The sequence below is a fragment of the Homo sapiens genome, chromosome 16 (assembly GCF_000001405.40).
Source record: "Homo sapiens chromosome 16, GRCh38.p14 Primary Assembly".
In the NCBI taxonomy this organism is placed as follows: Eukaryota; Metazoa; Chordata; class Mammalia; order Primates; family Hominidae; genus Homo; species Homo sapiens.
In genome coordinates this window covers 84,366,387-84,387,199 of record NC_000016.10, presented here as the reverse complement: position 1 = coordinate 84,387,199, position 20,813 = coordinate 84,366,387, and the positions used below count along the sequence as shown (strand labels likewise).

The window sequence follows — 20,813 nt, the reverse complement described above, 5'->3', positions numbered from 1 at the left end:
CATGCAAGCCCTCCAGGAGATACGAGTGCCCAAATGTGCTCAGAAGTGGAACTCAGTCTGGGGTTATCGCAGTCTCAGGTTCTCAGAGCGCGGCATGCTTGTTCAGTGATAGTCGTCACTGCCAAACAGTTTTTCCCTCAGATCTGCACCCCCAACCCCACTGCCCACAGGTGAGTGGCGACAATCAAGCTTAAGACAGTGTGGGAAAATGGGGAAGAACATTGCAAAAGAACTCAGAAGGGCCTGCCTGAATATTTTTTAATGTTAGGGACCAAAACAAACAAACAAACAAACAAAAACCCTAAATGCAGCCAACAGGGTAGAGGAGGCATCACCAGGCCCAGACTCGGCCTGGTCTAGCTACCCCCACCTACGCTGTGTGACCCTCAGCAAGCCGCTTGACTTTTCTGAGTCACAGTTTCCTCCTCTTTAAAATGGGAATGATGATACCTCGCACCTAGCATTGATGTGAGGAAGGGCTTCTGAAATTTCAGCCTCAGGTCAAGAGGGGCTTCAGAGATGTTTTCCAGCCCCTGAAGTCCTTTCTAGGTAGTACCTGTGTGCGTCTGTGTGTGCATACGCAGTGGGAGTGTGACACCAGCGAGCAAGGAGCTAGCAACAGGACAAAGTGAGATACTTGGAGCATGAACCTTGCTCAAGGGTGGCCAGTGCATTCGGGCCAAGAGGAGACGGCTAGGCAGAGTGGTGGCCAGTGCAATTGTTGGCAAGGTGAGGAGATGGGTTACATACAGGGAAATTGTGCAGTAAGGAAATATGCTAATGGTAATGGTAGCCAGTGTTCTTACTGTTGGTGAAAAGAGTTAAAAATATACAAAGAACTGGCACAAACCCTGTGGTATTTATTGGACTGGAATATATGGAGATACAGAGAGAGACAGATATAAAACTAAATATAGATCTCGCAGCATATGCACACTTACACCCCCTCCACTGAGAGGGCCCAGGAGCCATGGCACCCAGTAACAATGAACACATACTACCAGATCTTGCTTTCTAAATATAATTCTTCCGGTAAAAACAGCCAAGGATACTGGGAGAAATGGCTTTTTCCAGGGCCAAGGTACAGAAAGTACAAAATGAAGCTGAAGTTTCTCATTATGCCAGAAAGGGAAGTGCTCAAAGGATAACGTAAAAAATGTCAAGAGGGCATGGCAGTCACCTTGAAAGGGTTCCCGTTGGCCAAATTAAGACAATGAAGCATCAAAATAAATATTGATAGTAACAAATCATAGCATATTTAATCAACTAGGACTCTGATATGGCCTGGCTCTGTGTCCCCACCCAAATCTCATTTGGAATTGTAATCTGAAGTGTAATCCCCGCATGTTGGGGAAGGGACCTCATGGGAGGTGATTAGATGGCGGGAGTGGTTCCCCCATGCTCATGATAGTGAGTGAGTTCTCACAAGATCTGATGGTTTCATATGGGGCTTCCCCCTTTGCTCAGCATTCATTCTCTCTCCTGCCGCTCTGTGAAGAGGTGCCTTCCGCCATGACTGTAAGTTTCCTGAGGCCTCCCCAGACATGCGGAACTGTGAGTCAATGAAACCTCTTTTCTTTGTAAATTACTCAGTCTCAGATATTTCTTCATAGCAGCATGAGAGTGGACTAATACAGAGTCCTTGCATTCCTACTGATATCAATGAATAAACGACCAAGTTAACAGGGAGAAGAGAAAGCTCTTCCTTACAGGAGACGTTAAATGAGAGAGAATGATGATGATGGTGATATGGTTTGGATCTGTGTTCACCCCCAAATCTCATGTCCAATTCTATTCTCTAATGTTGGAGGTGGGCCTGGTGGGAGGTGACTGCATCATGGGGAAGGATATCTCATGAATAGTTGAGCACTATCCCCTTAGTACTGTCCTCGCGAATGTGAGTTCTCGTGAGATCTCGTCATTTAAAAGCATGGGACACCGTCCCCTGCTCTCTCTCTTGCTCCTGTTCCCACCATGTAAGACACTTCACTCCTCCTTTGCCTTCCACCATGATTGGAAACCTCCTGAGGTCTTCCCAGAAGAAGCCACTGTGCTTCCTGTACAGCCTGCAGAACCGTGAGCCCATCAAACCTCTTTTCCCTATAAATCACACAGTCTCAGGTATTTCTTCTTTTTATGTGTGTGTTTTTTGAGACAGAGTCTCACTCTGTCACCTAGGCTGGAGTGCAGTGCTACAATCTTAGCTCACTGCAACCTCCGCCTCCTGGGTTCAAACTATACTCCTGCCTCAGCCTCCTAGGTAGCTGGGATTACAGGCATGCATCACCAAGCCCGGCTAATTTTGTATTTTTATTAGAGACCAGGTTTCACCATGTTGGCCAGGCTGCTCTTGAACTTCTGACCTGAAGTGATCCACCCACCTTGGCCTTCCAAAGTGCTGGGATTACAGGCATGAGCCACCATGCCCGGCTTCAGGTATTTCTTTATAGCAGTGTGAGAAGGGACTAATGTAGATGGAATTAGAAAATCACCATTCAGCAAACGTTGTGATAGTAATCCATTCAGCCAAGCATCGTCCATGCATGCCGAACTTAATGAGCGAAAATAAAACGAGAATCAGATACTGACACAGTCTCAACATGTCTCTCGGTAAAATACTTAATCATTACAAGGGAGAAAGTAATAGCTTTAATTAAGGGAAACCTGGCAGACGCTGTCTTAACCAAGGGGCAAAAGTTACTCCCACCAGTAACGAGACAAACAGCTGGGTGGGCCTCCCAATACCATGTACTAAGGAGGACACAGTATCGTGCCACAGGGCTTTCTCCAGAAGCGCGTAACCTGAGCCAAATCCCGAGGAAACATTAGACAAACTCAAATCAAGAGACATCCTATGACGTCCCCGAGCCTGGAATCTGAGCCCGGAATCTCTAAAAAGGTCGAGAATACAGAAGACAAGGAAAATCCACAGGAGTATTCCACACAGAAGGAGAAACAGAGGGACGTGGCAACTAAGAGCCACATCCTTTCCCTGTTACCAGGACAACGCTGATGGGAACTTGTGGACTGGATGGTCATGTTGTGTAGATGTTCATTTCCTGATTTTTGGACTCTGTTGTGATTAATGAAGACTGTCACTTAAAGAAAATAGGCTGGGCACAGTGGCTGACACCTATAATCCCAGCACTTTGGGAGGCTGAGGTGGGAGGATTGCTTGAGCTCAGGAGTTTGAGACCAGCCTGGACAACAGCGTGAAACCCAGTCTCTACAACAATACAAAAATTAGCTGGGCGTGGTGGCACATGCCTGTAGTCCCAGCTACTGGGGAGGCTGAGGTTGGAGGATCGCTTGAGCCTGAGAGTTGGATGCTGCAGTGAGCCGAGATTGCGCTACTGCTCTCAGCCGGGTGAAAAGAGTAAGACGCTGTCTCAAAAAAAAAAAAAAAAAAAAACCAACAAAACCAACACCCCCACCCCCAACACACACATACACACACACACACAGATGTATTCAGAAATAATACAGCATCATGTCTGCAATTTATGTCTAAATGGGGGCGGTGAGGCTGAGGACAATGCAGCCAGTGTCGAAATGTACTGACGATGCTGAGAGACCCTGGAGGAAGGATGTGCTATAGTGTTTGTGCTATCATCTTCTTACAACTTTTCTGTCCATTTGAAATTATTTCCAGACAATAAATGAAGAAATGATTCCAGAATAACGGTATGGCTGGGAAGAAACAGGTTCATTCCTATATTCAGGTTCAACCCGCATTGGCTGAGCACATACTACGGACCAGACATGGCTGCTTATCATCACGCGCACCTTCACTCCTCTATCTCACCAAAAGTTCAAGTTGGCAGGCGCTGTGCCCATTTTGTTGGATGGGCAAACCAAGGCCCTGGATTTGAGAGCTTTGCCCAAGGTCACGGCAGGTGAGTGTGGAGTGAGGGTTTGATGCAGGCTTTCCTGCCAGCCCACCTGTCTGCCTCTAGACACACAGCTGGGCCTCCCTGGCACTGATTCACACTCAGTTTTGGGACAGTGAGGCTGGTTCCTAGTGGACCTGCTTGCGGCCTCAGTAGCAGAAAGCAGTAGGCCACTGAGCTGTGCCCAAGATGACAAGGACAGTGGCTCCCAGGAACCCACTAGCTTTGCTCCAGGGCAGGCCCAGCGCTGGATCCCAGCATGTCCCTGGGAGAGGAGGCACACTTCTGTCTCCAGCTGTAGACTCTTGCCTGTCTCTTCTGAGGCTGCTTTTGCCTGGATGGTCCAGGAAGAGGGGCAGCTCTTCCTCCTGGCTTGGCCATTTCTTTCTTTACTTTTTTTTTTTTTTTTTTTTTTAGATGGAGTCTTGCTCTGTCGCCCACGCTGGAATGCAGTGAAAAGATCTCAGCTCACTGCAACCTCCGCCTCCTGGGTTCAAGCGATTCTGGTGCCTGAGCCTCCCAAGTAGCTGGGATTACAGGCACCCGCCACCATGCCTGGCTAAATGTTTTGCATTTTTAGTAGAGACGGGGTTTTGCCACGTTGGCCAGGCTGGTCTCAAACTTTTGACCTCAAGTGATCCTCTCGCCTTAGCCTCCCAAAGTGCTAGGATTACAGGTGTGAGCCACCACATGTGGCCATGGCTTGGCCATGTCTATGGTCAGCCTTTGAGCCCTGGCTGCAATGGTGTTGAGCTGAACAGATCAGCCCCCATGCCAGGAGGAACCTGGCTGCCCATCCTGCCCCAGGACTGACCCTGAGAGATGGCAAAAGGCAGGGGATTGGGAGGCATGAGTCAAGTCAATGCAACTGTTCTTAAAAGGGGGTGGGGAGGTTTCTGTGAAGAATGTATTTGAAGCCCATCAGTGATAGACTGGATAAAGAAAATGTAGCACATGTACACCATGGAATACTACGCAGCCATAAAAAAGGATGAGTTCGTGTCCTTTGCAGGGACATGGATGAAGCTGGAAACCATCATTCTCAGCAAACTAACACAGGAACAGAAAACCAAACACCGTATGTTCTCACTCATAAGTGGGAGTTGAACAATGAGAACGCATGGACACAGGGACGGGAACATCACACACCGGGGCCTGTCAGGGGGTGTGGGGAGAGGGGAGGGATAGCATTAGGAGAAATAACTAATGTAGATGATGGGTTGATGGGTGCAGCAAACCACCATGGCACGTGGATACCTATGTAACAAACCTGTACGTTCTGCACATGTATCCCAGAACTTTAAGAAAAAAAGAAAGCATTTGAAGCAGAGGTATTCCTAACACTGACAAGGAGTCCAGGGGACTCGAGCTTAGAATTCAGGCCGCCCTGGGCCCAATTCCATGAAGAGCTGTGTGACCCTGGGCAAGTTACTTCATTTTCTAAGCCTCAGATTTCTACAGGGATTTTTGTAAGGATTCAAAACAATGTGGTATATCCATAGATGTTCATTATAACATTGTTCTAAAAATCAAAAAAGGAAACCAACTAACTGTCGGCAGGAAACGGGTTAAATACGAATGCCTACACCGCCATTGAAGATGTGTTGACCCACATACACTGCAGGAATATGGAAGCATGGAGTGGGCAGAATAGTGTGCCCAGCATGAATCTATGAGGGAAAAGACACTTATGTAGTTGTATAATTTTTTTTTAAATATTTTTTCTTTTTTTCAGGACAGAGTCTTGCTCTGTCGTCCAGGCTGGAGTGCAGTGGCATGATCTCGGCTCACTGCAACCTCTGCTTCCCAGGTTCAAGCAATTCTCCTGCCTCAGCCTCCTGAGTAGCTGGGATTACAGGCTCATGTCACCACAAGCAGCTAATTTTTGTATTTTTAGTAGAGATGAGGTTTCACTGTCAGGCCTCTGAGCCCAAGCCAAGCCATCACATCCCCTGTGACTTGCACGTATACATCCAGATGGCCTGAAGTAACTGAAGATCCACAAAAGAAGTAAAAATAGCCTTAACTGATGACACTCCACCATTGTGATTTGTTTCTGCCGCACTCTAACTGATCAATGTACTTTGTAATCTCCCCCACCCTTAAGAAGGTACTCTGAAAGATCCACCCCTGCACGCAAAACGTAACTTCACCGCCTATCCCCAAACCTATAATAACTAATGATAATCCACCACCCTTTGCCGACTCTCTTTTCGGACTCAGCCCGCCTGCACCCAGGTGAAATAAACAGCCATGTTGCTCACACAAAGCCTGTTTGGTGGTCTCTTCACACGGACGCGCATGAAATTCACTACGTTGGCCGGGCTGATCTCAAACTCCTGACCTCATGATCCGCCCGCCTCGGCCTCTCAAAGTGCTGGGATTACAGGCGTGAGCCACCACGCCCAGCCTGTAGTTGTATAATAATAATTACTTATAATTAAATAATTATTGCTAATAAAAATCACCATGATCAGGTGCTACCTTACATGCTTGATGTGTATTAAATGACTCCATTCCACAACAGACCCCCCGATGTATGTACACTTAGTTACTACCCCATTGTACAGAAGAACAAACAGAGGCAGGGAAAAGTTAAGTTTGCCCGAGGTCTCACAGCTGGCGAGTGGCAGAACTAGAATTTGCATCCAGGCAGCCTGGGCTGTAGACTTCCGTGCTCTTAACCACAATCCTGCAGCCTCTCTAGACTTGCGCAGAAAAGGGGCCAAGAACACCCAAGCAAACAGTGACCTGATTACCGCAAACTGATCAGAAACAAACAGGACCTTCCTCCCTCCGCCTCCCCCAACCCCAAGTCACGGGGGAAAATAGGATCCATAAAGTGGGGGAGTGAAGGAGGAACTTTAAATTGTGCCAATTTTTATTTATGGTTTATGAGAAAAACTTAAGACAAGTTTAGACAGGAAAAGAAGGAAGGAAAAAGGGAAAGAAGAAAAAAAACATACAATTCCCGGTTCACACAAGATAGTAGATAAACAGCAACTACTATTAGGAGAATTCAATAATAAGTGAAGGCAAAACTGTCACTCAAATTTCAATATGCTGATATCTGGGGGAGGGGGTAGAAGGAGGAGAAGGCCTGGTGAGATAGGTGTTGCTGAAGGAGACTGGCTATTTATAGACTTTCCCTGGGGAACAGGCACCTCCCAGATCACAGGGGAGGGAGGCCAGCTTATCTTTCCTGAAATCTACTGCAGGTCAGGCTGTAGGCTCCAGGGTGTACCAAATGTGGCTGATATAAAAAATGAAAATAATAAATGCAGGAGCACGTGTAGCCCAAATGCAAGGCTTAGTTCTCTGAGTTCCTGCCACCTCCTCCAGGAAGTCTTCCCAGATGGCACTGGACTTTAACAGTAGCATTCCCACCCATCCCCCACACCCAGGCCATACCTACCTTCTTTCTTACAGGCTCTGCTTTCCTTCCTGGGGTTTATCTCAGTGTGTAATTATATACTCACTGGAGGAATTATTTGATAGACATCTTCCTTCCCTACCAGAACATGAGCCCCACCCAGTAGGATCAGCGCTTTGCTCACTCTTTTGTCTCTAGTATCTGCAAGAGGGCCTGGCAAACAGGAGGATGGATCTGAGACACGCAGAGAAGCTAATCACCCAGAGCAGCAGTACTCAAACTCCAGGGAGCCTCAGAACCCCCCGGCGAGGCTTGCTGAGTCTCAGATTGCTGGGACCCCGCCCAGAGTTTCTGATTCTGTAGTTCCAGGGTGGAACCTGAGATTCTGCATTTCTGGCAAGCTCCCAGGTGATGCTCACACTGTTGGTCCCCAGCCCACACTTGGAGGACATGTCATCAAAAGAAAGGATCAGCCAGGCACAGTGGCTCACGCCTGTAATCCCAACACTTTGGGAGACCGCGGTGGACAGATCTCTTGAGCCCAGGAGTTCAAGACCAGCCTAGGCAACTTAGCAAAACCCCATCTGTTCAAAAATTAGCCAAGCATGGTTGTGTGCTTGTATTCCCAGCTATTCGGGAGGTGGGAGGATCACTTCAGCCCAGAAAGATTGAGACTGCAGTGAGCCATGATTGCGCCACTGCACTCCAGCCTGGATGGCAGAGTAAGACCCTATCAGGAAAGGAAAGGAAACGACAGGAGAGGGGAGGGTAGGAGAGGGGAGGGGAAAGGAGGGGAAGAGAGGGGAAAGGAGGGGAAGAGAGGGGAAGAGAGTGAAATGGATGCTGGGCGTAATTCCTGGGTGATGGGATGATCTGTGCAGTAGATCACCATGGCACATGTTTACCTATGTAACAAACCTGCACATCCTGCATGTGTACCCTGCACCCTGAAACTTAAAATAGAAGTTGAAAAAAAAAAGTAGGTGAGGGCCAGAGGAGTGGCTGGAGTAGAGGCTGAAAAAGAGAACCCCAAACAGCAAGAGCTTGCTGGTGTCTCCAGCCAGGGACCTCGCGACGGTGAGCCCACCAGGCCCGGCTCCACGTTCATGGCTTCGTGTGTCCACGGCAGCCTGCACTTTGCTCAATCTCTGCTGCCGCCTTCTTGAGATTCTTAGTCATTTTTCAAGGAGGGGGCCGTTTTGCAGTGAGCCTGACAATCACGTAGTCGGCCCTGCCCCCACCACTGAGCGCTTTCTATGGACACAGCGCCTAGCACATGACCCAAGGTCAAAGCAAGACAGGGCTTGATTCTGAAAAACAAGATCATCTTGTGAACAAGGCATTGTGCAGAGAGTTTTAAACACCTTCCCTCACTTACTCTTTTTTGATTACTAACATTCACTGAGGGAGGCGTAGTGAGGGGAACTTTGTGGAATGCTTAGATCTGTTACCCAACACAGCTTCCACAAAAAGCCAGGGAGAGGAGGAATCTAGCAGTCAGAAGGGGAATCCAATGCTGCCCTCCATTCTTGCACCCAACACCTCCACTTTCACACCAGGACACATGAATGTGGAGAGATTACACCTGCCTAAATCCATGTGGCCGGCGACGGAGGGGCCCTGTCTGCCCTACACCAATGGCTCCTGGTTAAGAGTGGCCACTCAGACCAACACTCCTTCCCCTACGCCCAGAGCCCCCAGATTCGGTCCAGCTGGAGAGGCAAAGACAGGGAGCGTCCTGAGAAGTGCATGGGGGTGAAATAAGCAGTTCTAGTTAGCCTGGGAGTTGGCGTCCTTGGTTTGGCTTAGGAAAGTGAGGTGCAGTGCCTGCCTGTCATCTCTTCCCTCTGGGTCTCTGGAATCGCAGATCTTGGGCCCCTCTCTTCCCTGTCTCTGTTTGCACTTGAGTTTCAAGGTGGGCCAAACAACACATCCTCTGCTGAGCTCTCTTCTCTCCAATAGGCCACAGGGAGGTCTTAGGGAAGGTCATAGGAATATGGCCCAGCTAGTGGGGCACCATGCCCGCTTCTCCTGAGGACTTGGGGCAGACGGCAGAGGTGATAAACATTTCCAGAGGGGCTGCAGCCTCAAGACACAATTACAAATTTTCTCCTGGTGGCCCACAGCTCCTCAAAGAAAAAAATACCTTTCAAGTCAATTTCTACACAGAACATGGTGTTGGACTGAGTTGTCCAACCCCCCCACCATTCCCAGGCTAAAGCCCTAAACCCCACACCCCATATCCTCAGAAAGTGACTATATTTAAAGCTGGGGCCTTTAAAGAGGTCATTACAGCTAAATGATGTCATTGGTGGGGCCTTAATCCAATACGACTGGTGTCCAAGTAAAAGGAGGAGATTAGGACACAGCCATGCACAGAGGACAACCGTATGAAGACACAGGGAAGGCAGCCATGTGCAAACCAAGCAGAGAGGCCTCCGGAGGAACCAACCCTGCTGGCACTTTGCTCTTGGAGTTCTGGCCTCCAGAACTGAGACAATAAATGAGCTGTGAGGAAGTGGAGTCTCCAGCAAGGGCAGCTGGCTGGACACCTTTGGGATTCATATTCATTGACAACAAAGATGCCTGTCCGGCCCACTCCACCTTCCAGGCAGGGAGAGGGAAGACAGGTGATTGGATTGAAAGCTCCCACCAGCTCCCGCTTACCATATGATTTCCACTACTTGCTAAGACTTAGCACATGACTTCCACTACTACTAGGACTTAGCACACAACTTCCACTACTAAGACTTAGCACACGGCTTCCACTACTAAGACTTAGCACACGGCTTCCACTACTCGCTGAGACTTAGCACACGGCTTCCACTACTCACTCAGTCTTAGCACACGACTTCCACTACTAAATTTCCCATGTTCTTATCACCATCATGTGAGATGCCTTAGAGACCAGAGGTACTGGGATTATTAGCCTCTGAAGCGTCCACAGATCCAGATTAACCCCATGACAATTCAGAAGAATCACTGACAGTCCACAGGGGAGGTATCGATTGGATGTTTCCTCTCCGACAAGAACCCTTCAGCAGGGCCAGCCTCACTGGCATGAGGCCAGTGCAATTGCACAGAGATCCCCGTGCAGGACAGGTGTTGGCCTTGAGGCTTCATGCTCCACAGCTGCCATCTTGGAATGCGTAATCATTGGATCTGAATGTGTATGTGGAAATTTAGCCCCATGGGATGATGTGTGCCCGGGGCTTGGCATCTCCCCTCCTCCACCCAGCGGCCATGACTGTCCTCCCCGATGGGGGATACCTGGCAGGGTCTACACAAGGGGTGTCCAATCTTTTGGCTTCCCTGGGCCACATTGGAAGAAGAATTGTCTTGGGCCACACATAAAATACACTAATACCAATGATAGCTGATGAGCTAAAAAAAAAAAAAAATTGCCAAAAAAAATCTCATAATGTGTTAAGAAAGTTGACAAATTTGTGTTGGGCTGCATTCAAAGCTATCTTGGGCTGCAGGTTGAACACACTTGGTCTACACTCACCCAGTAGTAATCCCTTGTGTGGTGGAGACCAATAATCTATATCAAGTGGAACTCACCAGGACACTCGAGGGAGAGATCACAGAAGACAGAAGCAAGTGTCTTCCTGCTATTGGCAGTCTGCCCCACGAATTCTGTAGCCAGTCCTGCCCTCATGGCAACCTCATCGCCTCACCTGCCTTCCTTGAACCAGAGACCTTTCCTCCCTGCCCTTGGTCATTCCAAACTCCCCTGTGGAAGTTTCAAATGTGCTGACCCAAACTACTTATCTCTGTGTTGGGAAGCCGCAAGGGGTCGCAGGAGCCCCCAAATGGTCACGTACAGACCCCTGTCCCATCCACCTCTTTCTCCCACTGGCGCCCAAAGCTCTGGGCTGGCACCGCTCATACACCGCCACCCCTGGGGATCTGGATTCTTGCCTAATAATGCTGTTTACAGTACCACTCCCACCCAGCTACACCCACCCAGCTACCCCCACCGAGCCCAGAAAGGCAACACAGACCTAAAAACCCACAATCCTTTCTCTCCCCTTCTTTTGTTCAGACTTCCTCTTTATTTTTCACATCTCCTTTTTTTCTGTCTACAAAATTAAACCATATTTGTGGCTGGAAATTTGGAAAATGCACAAGATTACAAAGAAGAAAATTTGTCATCCCAAGATAAAAATACTGCTCAAAATGATCTTTCTCCAGATTGTATTCTCTGCACATTGTAAAAGTATGTTTTTTTCCAAAAGAAATTACGACCACCTGTTTCCACTGAATGATACATCATGAGGGGCAAAGATGGCAAAAGAATCGTGGAATCCACGTGGGTGAGCAGACAGCTGTCTAGTCCTTCTGTTTTTCTGTATGTTTGACATTTTTCTTTCTTTCTTTTTTTTTTTTTTTTGAGACAGAGTCTTGCTCTGTCACCCAGGCTGAAGTGCAGGGACATGATCTTGGCTCACTGCAACATGTGCCTCCCCGATTCAAGTGATTCTTCTGCCTCAGCCTCCCAAGTAGATGGGATTACAGGCACATGCCACCACACCCGGCCAATTTTGTATTTTTAGTAGAGACGAGGTTTCACCACGTTGGTCAGGCTGGTCTCGAACTCCTGACCTCAAGTGATCCACGCACCTGGGACTCCCAAAGTGCTGGGATTACAGGCGTGACCCACTGCGCCGGGCCGTGTTTGACGTTTTTCATGTTAAAAACATTAGAATCATAGCCGTCCACTGTGTCATTACATATGCTTCTACAGCATCTGTTTCAGTGTCTGTGAGAATTCTGCTATCTAGATATCCCAGAATATCTGTAAACAAACCTCTACTCATGGCCATTTTTTAATATTTTGAATATCTCATTTCATGTTTTAAAGTATTTGTTTTCATTGTATCTGATATGAGACAAGTCCTTCTTACCAGGTGTCTATATTAACCCTCAAACAACCATCCGAATACCATCCTTCTCAACATCTGACTTGGACAGGTTCATCTAAATACTCTATATGATTTTTGAAGTCCCTGAATAAGCTTTCTGCTAATTCCCTTTCTCTCCTTTTTGATAGATTATTAGGTGGGGTGGCAATAAAACCCAAACTCTCGGGTCTTTCATAACTGTATTTCTTTGTCCCCGAAAGAGAAATAGCAGCTGAATGTCAACCCTTGAAGATATAGCAGCTGCCTGTGTTCTCATCCAGATGGCCTCTGCTTTAGGAGAAATACCAAATCTACAAACAATTTGTGTGCACACAAATGAAAACCAAAGGACCCCCCATCAGCTCCCAGTCCCACCCCTAATATGATGGCCACCAAGCAGCAACCATTTAACACACTGGAAGTTCCTTCTAGTTGGGACTCTGGGATTCTTTACCCTTATTAAAAAAAAGCTTGTGACATTTGGATTGGGGGCAGGGTTTCCGGGATGCCATCTTCAGACGTATTCTCAGGAGCCTTCAAGTTTTCTGAGAACTTATTAACCTTGAATGTGTTTCAATGACTGTCTGATCAACACAGACCTTTCGGGGTGGGGGGCAACTTACAACTCAGGACTGTGACATAACACCAGTGTGCATATTTGCATCCATGACAACCATCACAGCACACACTGTAGCATCCCAGTGAAGGCTGACACACACTGAAAGCTTCAATGGCTCAGAGAGAAAGGTTAGCAGAAGAATTGAGTCATCACACAGCGCACAATTGTGGATTCGGTGAGAAAAGCCTAAGATACCTAAATATTGAGAAGTGTAGTCACGTCACAAGCAGGTGCCTTACATGAATCCAGTCTTTGTACGTAGCAGCTGGCACCGTCAATGAGCACTAAGTGTAGTAGTACATACAAATAGATACCAAATGAAGAAATATTCTTTCAACAACGCCCAACACTAACATTATCTTCAAGTGAACGAGCCAGTTCTACGGTTATCAGATGACAGCCTTAAAATTGGCATTCGTAGGCTGCTTGCTGGCAGTTGGACTTGAGTTTGAGTCTGATTATCCTAAACTAGCAAACAAAGTCCTGACAAATGTAAATGTCATTTTGTACATACACACATTAGCAGACATTCTTAGCATCAGTATTTTCAAAATCAAAAGTTCAAAAGAGTTTAAAGAACAGAACTTACGATGAATGAAAACACTAACAAAACTAGATAAGTAGTGAGCAGATGACATGTCAGATGTGGTTCTAGGATTTTTTTTAACGTGAATGACGTCATTGAAGGAAATATTTCTTTCTACTATTCCAATGGGCAGCCTTTAAGGCAGTCCCCAGCCATCACTCCCTCCCAGTACCCATGGCCTGTGTAACCCCTTCCCTTTGAGTGTAGACTGGACCTAGACTTGCATCAAACGAATAGAATATGGCAGAAGTTATGAGACCTCATTTCAAAATGAGATTCAAAAAAGGCTTTGGTTTCCAGTCTCTTTTTTTGTTGTTGTTGTTTTGAGATGGAGTCTCGCTCTGTCACCCAGGCTGGAGTGTAGTGGCGCAATCTTGGCTCACTGCAACTTCCACCTCCTGCATTCAAGCGTTTCTTCTGCCTCAGCCTTCTGAGTAGCCGGGGTTACAGGCACCCACCACCACACCCAGCTAATTTTTGTATTTTTAGTAGAGATGGGGTTTTGCCATGTTGGCCAGGCTGGTCTCGAACTCGTAACCTCAGGTGATCCGCCTGCCTCGGCTTTCCAAAGTGCTGGGATTACAGGCGTAAGCCACCATGCCCAGCCTGATTGAGTTTTAATAGACATCACCAATATATCAAAATAAGGCTGTTCTATTTGTACTTTATAATTTTATTATAAATTTGACTTTTTTTTTTTTTTTTGAGAGGGAGTCTCGCTCTGTCTTCCAGGCTGGAGTGCAGTTTCGTGATCTCAGCTCTCTGCAACCTCCGCCTCCTGGGTTCAAAGGATTTTCCTGCCTCAGCCTCCGCAGTAGCTGGGATTACAGGTGCCTGCCACCTCGCCTGGCTAATTTTTGTATTTTTAGTAGAGAGGGGTTTCACCATATTGGCCAGGTTGGTCTTGAACTCCTGAACTCAAGTGATCTGCACGCCTCAGCCTCCCAAAGTGCTGGGAAAACAGGAGTGAGTCACCGCAACAGGCCTAAATTGAACCTGATTTTATAGTTGAGTTATAAGCAAACAGTTATGTTTATTACAAGTTTTATGCTTATACTTACTTGATATCACACTTTTGTACAAATCATTTAAGACAACACTGGCCAGGTGCGGTGGCTCACGCCTGTAATCCCAGCACTTTGGGAGGCTGAGGCAGGCGGATCATGAGGTCAGGAGTTCGAGACCAGCCTGGCCAACATGGTGAAACCCCCATCTCTACTAAAAGTACAAAAATTAGCTGGGTGTGGTGGCGGGTGCCTGTAATCCCAGCTACTCGGGAAGCTGAGGCAGGAGAATCTGGGAGGCAGAGGTTGCAGTGAGCCAAGACCATGCCATTGCACTCCAGCCTGGGTGACAGGGCGAGACACTGTCTCGAAAGAAAAAACACTGTGGGGTTGCAGTACATTTCTTTAAGAAGATGCCCACATGTTGCTGAATTCTGAGAAACACTAATGATCTGTGAGTTTGGGCAAGCCTTGGGTTAAAGTTGTGTGTGCATGAGCCTCAGAATTCCCACACACATACTCTTTTCCAGTAACTGAGTGTAATCTCTTAAAAACACAAATCTGACTGTGCCTGTTTTATCACAGTTCTAATGTTTGGCCCATCTGGGAATAAATGAGTGACTATCATGTCCTGACTTAAAACCCTTCAACGATCCCCCACTGCTCCAGGGATAAAGCCCACACTCTGACAAGGCTCCGTACGACCCTCCTCTGCAGCCTCATCCTACCAACCCCAACGCCTCTACCTCTTCTGTCTAGAACTCGCTGTCAATCCCTGCCCTTCATCCAGCTCACCCTTTGCCACTCCTATTCATCTTAAACATCACGTCTTTCTCCCAGCTCTGACACGTTGGCATTAAACAGTGAACTGTGACCAGTTGCTGGGTGCCTGTCTCTGCCTCCTGGTTGGGATACCTGAGGGTAGAGAACTGTGCATCCTTATCAGCCCCAACTCCAGCTGGTAGCACTCACTTGACACACAGAGGGAGCCCCCTCCGTGAATCTAGGTTGAATGGATGGGTGGTCACTACATTCGTCTGTTGGGATCCAAGCCTCACCCTGGAGAGCCCAGAAGGATGCATCTGCTCACCAGCCAGGAAGGCAGTGGGCTGGGGCTATACCTGCCTCACTTAAGAGATGGGAGCCCTGAGGGGCAGAGACAGCTTCCCCCGGAGTTGGCGCTGAGTCACCTGGGAAGCAGGAATTTCTGCTCCAATCTCTTCCTTACCCTAATGTTCAGGTCAGCAGTGAGAAGCTTTTTCTAGTAACTAAATTAAGGAGGCCTCTCAAAGACCTTTTTGTTGTTGTTTTGTTTTGAGACAGGGTCTCACTCTGTTGCCCAGGCTGGAGCACAGTGGCATGATCACAACTCACTGCAGCCTTGACCTCCCAGGTGCAAGCAATCCTCCTGCTTCAGCTTGGTGAGTAGCTAGGACCACAGGTGCACACCACCACGCCTAATTTTTTGCAGAGATGGCATCTGGCTATGTTGCCCAGGCTGATCTTGAACTCTGGGGTTCAAGTGACCCTCCTGCCTCAGTCTTCCAAAGTGTGGGGATGACAGGCATGAGCCACTGCGCCCGGCTCAAACACCTTTCTTTCCATTCCTGGAAATGCTGAAATCCAGTCTCCAGTGCTTCTAACATGGGGTCGTCTCCAGTTCCCCTCTCAACCACCAGTCCTCTGTCTGGTCCTCTACTCTTTGATTCTCCAGTGCACCTGAGACCACTGGGTCTCAAATAAAGCATCTCCCAGTTTCTCAGCTGACCATTGGCCTCCTTTATGAACTTTGTTTTGTACACATCTGTATCCTCAGCGCCTAGCAAAACTGGCTGTCAGGAAATGCTCACTGAGCAAACAAACGTGGCCCCACTAGGAGCCTCACATCCTCATTGATCACATGACGAGAGTAAAATTTACCTTGGAGGTAAGAGGCCCAAGAGAAGACACAGCAAGTTCTCAGTAACAATCACTATTAGAACTGGGGTAACTGGTCAAAGTGGCTGGGGGAGGGGAGGGCTTAGAGGCCTCCTACAGGCATCCTGGATGTGGCATGTAATTAGTGCTCATAAAAGACGGTTCTATTGAGGAGTGAAAATGGAACCCCTAAATAAACTAGTATGAAATAACGCAAAAAAAAAAAAAGACAATTCCAACTATTGTAGAAGTGATCACCTCAACACACATCGCCTCCTTTCCAAACCCTGGGAGAAAGGAGTTCCAACGAGAGGACATGAGTATGACAGCAAAGGAGGTGTTCAGGTCTGAGCCAACCTGGCAGGAAGTGAGTGCCTCGCCCAGCCACCCGGCCTCCCCACCTCCCTCCCTCCTCACACTTCCCATCGATCTTCATTGCCATTTCCTGGGTTTGCACATTTCCTGGGTTTGCACAAGGCTGCCTCTGGAGACAGCATGGCTTCTTTCTCAGCTGGCCTTTGGTGTCAGTGCTGGTATCACCCGCCTCCTGGCGCTGCACACTGCCCATCATCACGCACCCAGGGCCTCAGGATGCTGCTGAGAGCACCCCGGTCCACAGCCAGGTGGGAGAGCACACTGACAGACCGGCTGAACACCTGTCAGACCTCTGAGAACTCTCCTGCAAAGCTTTGGAGGGACGAGTCCACCTGGCACAGAGATCAAACTCTCCCAGCATCTCCCTTGAGGTTACATCATCCATGCACCTGCATTCCTGGACATCCTGTGAAACCTGATGGTAACCAACTACACACCAGGAGAGTTTGAAAAATACCTGGCCTGATGCAAGAATCAAAAGATGGAAAGGAAAAAACAGGAATGGCAACATAGGAAAGGCAACCTGTGATGGCAAATAAACTTCAAACTCCTTTAGCAGAATGTATCGCAGAAGCAGAGAAATGGATCACAGCCAATTAATTGAACTCTATATCCTATCAATATTAACATGCCACTTCAGAAAAATCGAGATTGCTCAAAAACTGCTAGTTACGTGGTCCTGTGGCCTACCACCCTAAGACCAGAATTCTTACATCAACAGGGATGTATAAAACACTATTTTTAAAAAAGCACAAAACACTATTTTTAAAAAAGCACGAATACTTAATCTCACAAACAAAATGTTTTGACCATTAGTATTCTTTGGGAGAAAAAAATAAAATTTTAAGTCAAATATTTTTTCAGCTAATTTCTTTTTTTAATTAAAAGGTAAGTTTACCTTTGAAGTTTCCTTTCACTGGTCAAAAGGCCATCGCCAAGTCATATTTCTAATTAGCAACCCAGGGGACTCGTTCAGAAATGTTACTTTTGAACGACTGCTTAAGCGTAAATGAAAAAAAAAAAAGTGCAACGACCCTCTGGCGTGCAGAGAAACGCTTCTGCAGAAATTCAGTGCCCCCCTGACCTTAAAGCATGCAACGAGTTCTGTTTGCGAAGCTAAAAAGAAGGGTGTTGGGTCACCCTCAAGCCTGGCTTCACCCCTGGCTTCCAAGAATCCAAGGAACAGGAGGGGCTTTATTTGACAGCTTTGCCACTTCGTTCCCTCATGAACCGCCCTGCCCTGGCACCCTGCTGCTTTATCCCAGAGGGTCCCTGAAGGTTGCAAAGCAGGCATACAGCTCTGAGTGACTTTCTAAAAGTACCTGACTGTAGGAAGTGAGGCTGGGAGGTCCCTCAGCTCCAACTTTGCTTTCTATTATTGCTACAACATTTCAGCAATCTTTTGTTTTTTGCATCCCTCTAATTTTATTTTCCAATTTAAGTTTTAAAAATCCATAAAGCAGCCCAAGTCTGGAGACCCAGGAATTTTAATTCTCTGGAGTCAGAGAAACCTAGGTTAAGTTCCCAGCCAGGTCACTTCCTAGCTCCGTGCCCCTTAGGGAATATACTTAACCACTCTCGGCCTCAGTTTCTCAACCACAAAATGGGTTCACGTGAGGGTTCCATGCTGAGCTCCCCGCGCCAGAGCGCAGATGAGAGCGCGGTTGCTGTGAGGACAGCTTCTTTCCAGAGCCAGGGGAGGAGGGCGAGTTCGCGGATCGCAGCGCGAACGCGGGGTCTCGGGCCGGGGACGGTTACGACGGAGGGGATGGGGGGTCGGGTCGCACGCCCGGCGCGGAGTCGCGGGGACTCACCAAGGCTTCCTCTTCGTCCTTCTCCAGCGCCTGGTACTGGCGGCCCCCGCCCGAGAAGCCGAGTTTCTTCAGGAACTCGGAGACGCGTCCCTCGACCATGGTGAGCGGGCGCAGGCGTTGCCTGCGTCCCTAGGTCCCCGGCGAGGCCCGGGATGGCTGCGCGCGCCCAAGCCTCCTGGGCCGGACCCGGTTACCAGGTAGCTGTCTACCTGCCCGCGGCAGGTGAGGCCCCGCCCCTGGGGCGGGGCTGCGCACAGGGAGGTGCCGGCTCACCCGGCCCCGCCCCGCGAGCTCGCCTGGGACCCCAGGGGCTCTGGGGACAGCGCCGGCTGGCCATGAAAGGCCCAGGGAGAGGCTGCGTCGCCTCAGGGCTTGGGCTGTTTCCCAAACTTACAGATCCTAAGAATCACCTGGAGTGGGGGAGGTGGAGGAGCAAATGCTGGTTTAAAATCCGGATTCCCAGACCCCTCCCTGCCCAGTCACGGTTTGGAGCCGCCGGGAGCTGGGTTTTTAACGAGCCCCAGGTGATCCTCTTGAGGAACCCAGGGTGGGCGGCTCTAAGGCGCCGGGAGCGAGGTGGCTGGAGCTCAGTCAGACTCACACCTGCGGCTGTGCACTCTGGACGGGTCACGTGGCCTTTCTGAGCCTCGGCAACCTAGCCTGTCATTGAGCGGGGAGCAGCAGAAGGCTAAGACCCCCACCTCCAGGGCCCTGGGAGTGAGTCCAGGAACAGGAGCGACTGAGAGCCCTGCTGCCTTTGGCGCCTGCATGGTCTCGGATGGTCAGGGCCCCTGTCCTCGTCTGCAGGATGAGCGCCGCTCTTGCTCGTCGTGGGACCTGAGCAGGTTTCTTATATTTTTAGCGCCTTGGTTTACTGCTCTGCAGAATGGCCACCACGATAGCGCCTCCTTCACAGTGACATGGAGAGGCCCCAGCGGACAGTGCTGTACAGGAAGGTCTCGAGCAGGGCTTGGAGTAGAGAATGTGCTGGTGTCCCCATGACACCATCCTCCTCCTCTTCATCATCAGAAGGTGCTGGGCTCAAATGGCTCCCAAAGTATGTGAGTCCATACGCAGTGTAGACAGTTGCCAGCAGCCAAGTGGGTGCTTTGAAGTTCCAGGGCTTTCTTTGGCTTCAGGTAGGACTAGATCCGTAACTAGACCCACCACTTAGCAGAGGGGGAGCTCTGGGGAAGTCCGTGCCACCCGCCTTTCCGCTGGCTTCCTCATCTCTACAGGGAAGTTACTCACGGGCTACAGGAGGTGCCCTCTGCATTTGTCCACGAAATTCAGCCACCCCTTTTGAGCAAATATTTGCCACCTACCTCAATTGCTCCCGAGGGTTGACTCCAGGCCACGAAAACCTGCAGGGCAGTTCCAGTGCCCCTTCTTGTATCTCCTGCATCTTCCTCTTTCAAGGAAACAAAGGCTACGGTATCAGCCTGGCCCCACTCCCCAGTTTCAACAAAGGTGCAGGAATAATGGTAACAGCAAACCTCTGATGTGAGTGAGTCCAGATTTGAATCCCAGGAATGTTCCTTTCCGACCTTGGGCAATTTTCTTCACCTCTCTCCACCTCAGTTTACTCATCCATAAAATGGGGATGTCACTACCTACCCGTAGGAGTCAGGGTCCCAGTAGGAAATAGTAATTTGAGGAGAGTTTGAGAAACAGACTTTTTACAAAGCTGTGGGGAAGACGTAGAGAAACCAGAAGTGCTTGTGTCATTAACGAAGACTAGCAAAGAGTGAGAAGTGGCTTTGGTCCCACCCAAGGCCTGAAGGGCCAGACGAGAGAGGAGTTACCTGGAGGGGGAGCTCTGGGGCACTGATAACTTCTGCAGAGGGCAACTGCTTAGATCAAAAGCCAGAAAGCAACAGAGCGCCAAGGATGCAGCCTCCTGGGCAGAGAATCCAAAGAAGGGTGGAGAGTGGTGTAGAGGAGGCTGGGCAAGGTGGCTCACACCTCTAATCCCAGCACTTTGAGAGGCCAAGGTGGGCGGATCACCTGAGGTCAGGAGTTCGAGTCCAGCCTGGCCAACATGGGGAAACCCTGTCACTAGTAAAAATAGAAAAATTAGCCAGGTGTGCTGGCATGCGCCTGTAATCCCAGCTACTTCGGAGGCTGAGGCAGGAGAATCGCTTGAACCCGGAAGGTGGAGGTTGCAGGGAGCCAAGATTGTGCCACTGCACTCCAGCCTGGGCAGTAGAGCAAGACTTCATGTCAAACAAACAAAAAAAAAAGAGTGTTGTAGAGGAACAAGGAGGAGACATCCCGCAGCCAACCTCAGCATCCTGTGGTTCAGGCTGAGTGAATGCTTGCACAGGT

At 48.8% G+C, this 20,813-nt stretch overlaps 1 protein-coding gene across 2 annotated transcripts in view; it reads right to left on the bottom strand.

Moving 5' to 3' along the window:
- Positions 1–18,662, bottom strand: part of ATP2C2 (ATPase secretory pathway Ca2+ transporting 2) — a 95,650-nt gene extending 76,988 nt beyond the window's left edge. For both annotated transcript variants that reach the window (NM_001286527.3, NM_014861.4), the window contains exon 1: positions 18,486–18,662. In NM_001286527.3, coding sequence (NP_001273456.2) covers positions 18,486–18,584 — 99 coding nt within the window. In that variant the 5' untranslated portion in view covers positions 18,585–18,662. The remainder of the gene's footprint in view (positions 1–18,485) is intronic.
- Between the last annotated feature and the right edge of the window lie 2,151 nt (positions 18,663–20,813).